Source organism: Homo sapiens, chromosome 16, assembly GCF_000001405.40.
Source record: "Homo sapiens chromosome 16, GRCh38.p14 Primary Assembly".
NCBI classification, from domain to species: Eukaryota; Metazoa; Chordata; class Mammalia; order Primates; family Hominidae; genus Homo; species Homo sapiens.
In genome coordinates, this window is record NC_000016.10 from 30,630,461 (window position 1) to 30,637,697 (window position 7,237).

The 7,237-nt window shown below is 48.8% G+C and overlaps 2 annotated features.

The window, feature by feature from the left end:
* Positions 3,006 to 3,957: an enhancer, noted in NCBI's record as "H3K27ac hESC enhancer chr16:30644787-30645738 (GRCh37/hg19 assembly coordinates)". NCBI's record gives its function as "activates a minimal SCP1, AML or CMV promoter by ChIP-STARR-seq in naive and primed H9 embryonic stem cells {active_cell/tissue: H9 hESC(naive and primed)}" and the evidence as "EXISTENCE:reporter gene assay evidence [ECO:0000049][PMID:30033119]".
* Positions 3,958 to 4,908: an enhancer, noted in NCBI's record as "H3K27ac hESC enhancer chr16:30645739-30646689 (GRCh37/hg19 assembly coordinates)". NCBI's record gives its function as "activates a minimal SCP1, AML or CMV promoter by ChIP-STARR-seq in primed H9 embryonic stem cells {active_cell/tissue: H9 hESC(primed)}" and the evidence as "EXISTENCE:reporter gene assay evidence [ECO:0000049][PMID:30033119]".

The following is a 7,237-nucleotide window of genomic DNA, read 5'->3' on the forward strand; positions in this document are numbered from 1 at the left end:
ACTGGCACAGGAAACACTGATCTTCACCTTGGAGGGATTCCAGGCATGGACTGACCTTCACAACTCTCCCACTCCAACCAAAAGCAATGTACCTAAAGCTTCAAACACTTAAAGTCATCTTTGGGCCCCTTTCCAAAGAGCTTATGTTTCCTTGAGAATTCCCATTTACAAAGCAAACTTAACCTCTGCTCCTCACTGGCAAGAGAGCCTTTCTGCTTTAATTTCCAAGGATAATAATTTCTCCCTCTTAGGGTTGTCACGAAGATTAAGTGTGATAATTAAAGGGACCCTCTTTAAAAAGAATGTGGTACAAGACCTGAGTTCAGTTATATGCTAAACAAAATATAGCTTTCCTCCCTACCTGTACTTTGCAGCCCTCTCTCTCTGTATCATTCACAGGGAAAGGGGTGAGTGAAGAAAAGATTTTAGTTGTGTTACATTTATTTATTTATTTATTTATTTATTTATTTATTTATTTAGAGGCAGAATCTCACTCTGTCGCCCCGGCTGGAGTGCAGTGGTGGGATCTCGGCTCACTGCAACCTCCGCTTCCCAGCTTCAAGTGATTCTCCTGTCTCAGCTTCCTGAGTAGCTGGGACTACAGGTGCATGCCAACACGCCCAGCTACTTTTTGTATTTTTAGTAGAGATGGAGTTTCGCCATGTTGGTCAGGCTGGTCTCGAACTCCTGACATCAGGTGATCTGCCCATCTCGGCCTCCCAAAGTGCTGAGATTACAGGCGTGAGCCACCGTGCCTGGCCAGTTGTGTTACTTTTAGAAACCCATTGATATACAAATAAATAAACAAAAAAGAAGAAGGAAATAGAAACCCACTGTTATATTCCTCAAGCCTGGAAGAAGCCTGGTGCCACCTGGAATCTAAGAGAATGGAAATGCCTAGAAAAGGTACTGAAATTGCCCCAGACAGTTTCTGTAGTGGGAGATCTTTGCAAATGATAGGCCCTGAGAAGTCTGACTTGAGGCATACAAGGGTTCTCTTGTCTCAACAGGATCTTTTGGAACCTTCCTTCTCCTTGGGATCCCCAACTTCGGATACCACAGATCTCAGCTTTTTTTGTCCCATCCAAGAGACAAGGTGGTTGGCCAGGCATGGTAGCTCACACCTATAATCCCAGCACTCTGAGAAGCTGAGGCAGGCAGATCACAAGGTCAGGAGTTCGAGACCAGCCTGGCCAATATGGTGAAATCCCGTCTCTGCTAAAAATACAAAAATTAGCTAGGTGTGGTGGCAGGAGCCTATAGTCTCAACTACTTGGGAGGCTGACGCAGGAGAATCGCTTGAACCTGGGAGGCGGAGGTTGCAGTGAGCCGAGATCGCCCCATTGCATTCCAGCCTGGGCAACAGAGCAAGACTCTGTCTCAAAAAAAATTAAAAAAATTTAAAAGGTGGTTTGGACCTCTTAGATCCTGAGGGAGAAGAAATTAGGCAGAGCAGGTGTAGGAGACCCAGAGGAAGTCCCTGGTGGAAGAGGGGAACAACTCTGACAGGTCCTCAACTAGGAAGTTGGGGATACTTATCGAACTTTTTTTTCCTTCTTAAGAGCCAGGGTTTCACTCTGTTGCCCAGGCTGAAGTGCAATGGCATGATCATAGCTCTCTGTAACCTCAAATTCCTGGGCTCCAGCCATTCTCCTATCTTGGCTCCCCAAAGTGCAAGGATTACAGGCCCGAGCCAACACACCCAGCCAAAACTCTAAAATTTAAACCTTTATTTTAGCCTCAAGCAAGTATTCTGGACCTAGAGACACTGAATTGAAAGAAAACCCTCATTAGGAACTAGGCCTCATTATCTTGCCTTATGTATTATTTTTCTCTTGTAACAATATTGTGAGTATAATAATTATATTGTAATGTATTACTGTGTTAAAAGCATCAGTTTCTTAAATGCAAACACTAAAAATATATAGCTATTTTTGTATTCCTCTTTTGCTTTTGTTGTGTATGGACATGGGGTCTCACTGTGTCACTAGGCTGGGGTGCAATGGTGCAATCACAGCTCACTACAGCCTCAAACTCCTGGGCTCAAGAGATCCTCCCGCCTCAGCCACCTGAGGAGCTAGGACCACAGGCGCCCGCCACCATGCCCAGCTATTTTTTTTTTTTTTCATTTTTGTTTTGTTTTGTTTTGTTTTATTTTTTGAGATGGAGTCTCGCTCTGTCGCCTAGGCTGGAGTACAGTGGCGCAATTTCAGTTCACTGCAACTTCCACCTCCCAGGTTCAAGCGATTCTTCTGCCTCAGCCTGTGGGATTAGAGGCTCCCATGACCATGCCTAGCTAATTTTTGTATTTTTAGTAGAAACAGGGTTTCACCATGTTGGCCAGGCTGGTCTCCAACTCCTGGCCTCAAGTGATCTGCCTGCCTGAGCCTCCCAAAGTGCTGGGATTAGAGGCATGAGCCACCGTGCCCAGCCTCGTTTGGTTTTTTATTTTTTAAATGTTTGGTTTTTTTATTTTTTTATTTTTTTTGAGACAAAGTCTCGCTCTGTCGCCCGGGCTGGAGTGCAATGGCATGATCTCGGCTCACTGCAACCTCCACCTCCCGAGTTCAAGGGATTCTCCTGTCTCAGCCTCCCAAGTAGCTGGGATTACAGGCATCCACTGCCACGCTGGGCTAATTTTTTTGTATTTTTAGTAGAGAAAAGGTTTTTACCATGTTGGCCAGGCTGGTTTCAAACTCCTGACCTCAAGTGATCCGCCCGCCTTGGCCTCCCAAACTGCTGGGATTACAGGTGTGAGCCACCGCGCCCAGCAATATTTTATTTGCTTTTGTTTTTGTTTTTTTGAGACAGAGTTTCACTCTTGTTGCCCCAGCTGGAGTGCAATGGCACGATCTTGGCTGGCTGCAACCTCCACCTCCTGGGTTCAAGCGATTCTCCTGCCTCAGCCTCCTGAATCTCTGGTATTACAGGCGCCTGCCACCACGCCCAGCTAATTTTTGTTATTGTTAGTAGAGACGGGATTTCGCCATGTTGGCCAGGCTGGTCTCGAACTCCTGACTTCAGGTGATCCACCTGCCTTCACCTCCCAAAGTGCTGGGATTACAGGCGTGAGCTGCTGCGCCTGGTGTGTTTGAGTTTATACTGGGTAGGGAGTCATGGTTAACGCCTATAATCTCACCCAGAGTCTGAGATGGGAGGCTCCGTTGAGTCCTGGAGTTCGAAACCCCGTCACTACAAAAAAATATATATAAAGAAAAAAAAATTAAGCGGGCGCGGTGTGGCACCTGTGGTCCCAGCAACTCGGGAGGCTGAGGTGGGAGGATCACTTGAGCCAGGGAAGTCGAGGCTGCAGTGAGCCAAGATCACGCCGCTGCATTCTAGAATGGGCGACAGCCTAAAAAAAGTCAGCCTTAACAATAACAAAAAAGACAATGGCTAGGGCCCCTCCCAACCTTTCATGCCCTACCCGGAGCCCCTGCGCGGCCCTTACATTTAAAAGCCCCTTTGGGAGGCTGAGGTTGGCGGATCACTGGAAGTCAGGGGTTCAAGACCAGCCTGGCCAATATGGTGAAATCCCGTCTCTACTTAAAATACAAAAATTAGCCTGGCGTGGTGGCGGGAGCCTGTAATCGCAGTTACCCTGGAGGCTGAGGCAGGAGAATTGCTTGAACCCGAGAGACGGAAGTTGCACTGAGCCGAGATCGCGCCACTGCACTCCAGCCTGGGTGACAGGGCGAGACAACGTCTCAAAAAAAAAAAAAAAAAGCCCTAAAGGACCACTCTTGGATCTGATCCTGAGAAAGTCCCTTAGAAAACATGGCGACGCCAGCCTCACCACCTGTTTCCAAAAGCAGTGTGACGCCCTTCGCTCCCTTAGTCAAGCTAATCTTACTAAATAAGGAACAAGCTTCCCCTGAGGCTTGCCCTTCAGCGCACTGGCACTGCCCACCCGAACGGGCGTCACGGATCCTGGTCAGTCTCTAGGATCGCGCTCGCTGATAGGACGCTTCTGGTCGAACGTCCAAACAAGGTGTGCGGTGATTGGGCCGCGGAGGGCGGGGCGTTTGAACGGCGCGTGCGTGGGAGTTCCCCAGGCCGGCGTCATTAGGATCCTGGTGGGCGGTGGGACTTGGGTTCAAAGAAGACCAAGCAGGCAGACGTGTTCGGGGGCCCGCGGGTTCCGAGACTGGAGACTGGACCTTTGGCTGTCCCCACGTGCATTCTAGGTCAACGGTGCGGTGGCAGAACCCTGGGGCTCTCCCCCGCGGAACTCGGCCCTGGCCGAGGCCCCAACCACGCTAGTAGGAGGAGGCCGAGCATCCCTCCTCGAAATCGCGAAATCCCGGCCCGACAATGTAGCCACGGAGTCGAAAGCCGCGTGCGAACTTGGCACTCACAAAGCCTAGATAACCGTCTATTTTCTCCTGTAAAATAGGAGGGATGGACCCCCACAGATCATTGTAAAAGGTTCTTACAAAGAAAAATCCTCCTGGACTGGGCACGGTGGCTCACGCCTGTAATCCCAGCACTTTGAGCGGATCACACTTCGAGACCAACCTGACCAACATGGAGAAACCCCGTCTCTACTAAATTAGCCGGGCGTAGTGGCGCATGCCTGTAATCCCAGCTACTCTGGAGGCTGAGGCAGGAGAATCGCTTTAACCCGGGAGGCAGAGGTTGTGGTGAGCCGAGATCGCGCCATTGCACTCCAGCCTGGGCAACAAGAGCGGAATTCTGTCTCAAAAAAAAAAAAGAGAGAAAAGAAAAATCCTGGAAGTCAAGTAAAAATGTGTGAAGGTGTTTTATAAAATATGAAATATCTAGAATACACAAATCTATAGAAGGACTCGGGGAAAGGGGAGTGAATGCTAATAAATACAGAGGTTCTTTCTGGGGTGATGAAAATGTACTAGTACTGATTGTGGCCGCGCTAGCACAAAAATCCGTTTCATTGGCCAGACGCTATGGCCCAGGGAAAAAAAGAAGGACTAGGGGGAATGGGGAGTGAATGCTAATGAATATGCAGTTTCTTTTTGTGGTCATGAAAGTGCACTAAAATTTTCATGCTAGCACAAAAATTGAATTGTACACTTCAAATAGGTGTATTTGTGATGTGCATTCTAGCTCCATAAAACTCAAAATGTGTGAAAATTCTTTGTAACTTTACTAAAAATTGGGGGCACTCTATAGTTTACAAAACTATCCCCATCCAGGCAGGGCACGGTGGTTCACACCTGTAATCCCAGCACTCTGGGAGTCTGAGGCGGGCGGATCACCTGAGGTGAGGAGTTCAAGACCAGCCCGACCAACATTGTGAAACCCCGTCTCTACTAAAAATACAAAATTAGCCGGGCGTGGTGACGCATGCCTGTAATCCCACTTACTCGGGAGGCTGAGGCAGGAGAATCGCTTGAACCCGGGAGGCAGAGGTTGCAGTGAGCTGAGATCGCACCATTATACTCCAGCCTGGGCAACAAGAACAAAACTCCGACTCAAAAAAAAAAAAATTCTCCATCTAGTCCTCTGAGGTGAGCAGCATTTTGTTTGTTTGTTTGTTTTGTTTGTTTTGAGATGGAGTCTCGCTCTTGTTGCCTAGGCTGGAGTGCAATGATGCGATCTCAGCTCACTACAACCTCTGCCTCCCAGGTTCAAGCGATTCTCCTGCTTCAGCTTCCCGTGTAGCTGGGATTACAGGTGCGCACTACCATGCTTGGCTAATTTTTGTATTTTTAGTAGAGACAGGGTTTCACCATGTTGGCCGGGCTAGTCTCGAATTCCTGACTTCAGGTGATCCACCCACCTCAGCCTCCCAAAGTGCTGGGAGTACAAGTGTGAGCCACCGAGCCCTGCTTATTTATTTATTTATTTATTTAGAGACAGAGTCTCTGTCATCCAGGCTAGAGTGCAGTGGCACTATTTCAGCTTACTACAGCCTCCGCCTCCCAGAGCTAAAGCAATTCTCCTGCCTCAGCCTCCTGAGTAGCTGGGATTACAGGCATGTGCCACCACACCCGGCTAATTTTTGTATTTTTAGCAGGTGGCGTTTCGCCATGTTGGCCAGGCTGGTGGTGGCACAATTGGAGGGCAGAAGGGACAGTAAAAGATGCCCTAGAAGCTCAGAAGAAGGAAAGACCTCAGAAGGCTTCGACGCATGGGTGGGGCTGCTGTTGCAGCTGGACCTTCAAGGATGATAGAATCTAAACAAATGCAGTAGTAATGAAAGAGGTAAAAGATGGGAAACCATGGAAAATATACAGAGGTAATAATTAGATGAAGCCCCCACGTGGTGACTTGTGCCTGAAATCACAAGTGTGCCCAGAAACGGGGCCTCACTGTGTTGTCCAGTCTGGTCTCGAACTCCTGTTTCAAGCAATCTTCATGCCTCAGCCTCCTAAAGTGCTGGGATTACAGGAGTGAGCCACTGCATCCGGCCACCCTTCATTTTAAAAGTACATTTCTGGCCAGGTGCGGTGGCTTATGCCTGTAATCCCAGCACGTTGGGAGTCCAAGGCGGGCCAATCACTTGAGGTCAGGACTTCAAGACCAGCTTGGCCAACATGATGAAACCCCATCTGTACTAAAAATACAAAAATTAGCTGGGTGTGGTTGTGTGAACCTGTAATTCCAGCTGCTCAGGCGGCTGAGGCACGAGAATAGCTTGAACCCAGGAGACAGAGGTTGCAGCAAGCTGAGATCGCACCACTGCACTCCAGCCTGGGTGATAGAGTGAGACTCAGTCTCAAAAAAAAAAAAAAAAAAACCACATTTCTGCCCAGGCGCATTGGCTCATGTCCATAATCCAGCGCTTTGGGAGGCTAAGGTGGGTAGATCACCTGAGGTCAGGAGTTGGAGACCAGCCTAGCCAAAATGGTGAAACCCCTTCTCTACTAAATACAAAAAATTAGCTGGGCGTGGTGGCAGGTGCCTGTAATCCCAGCTACTCAGGAGGCTGAGGCAGGAGAATCGCTTAAACTGGGAAGGCGGAAGTTGCAGTGAGCTGAGATCGTGCCATTGCACTCCAGCCTGGACAACAGCGAAACTCTAAAAAAAAAAAAAAAAAATTAGCCGGGCGTGGTGGCATCCGCCTGTAATCCCAGCTACTCAGGAGGCTGAGGCAGGAGAATCACTTGAACCCAGGAGGTAGAGCTTGCAGTGAGCCAAGATCGCACCATTGCACTCCAGCCTGGGCAACAAGAGTGAAACTCCATCGCAAAAAAACATAATAGTAAGGCCGGGCGCGGTGGCTCAAGCCTGTAATCCCAGCACTTTGGGAGGC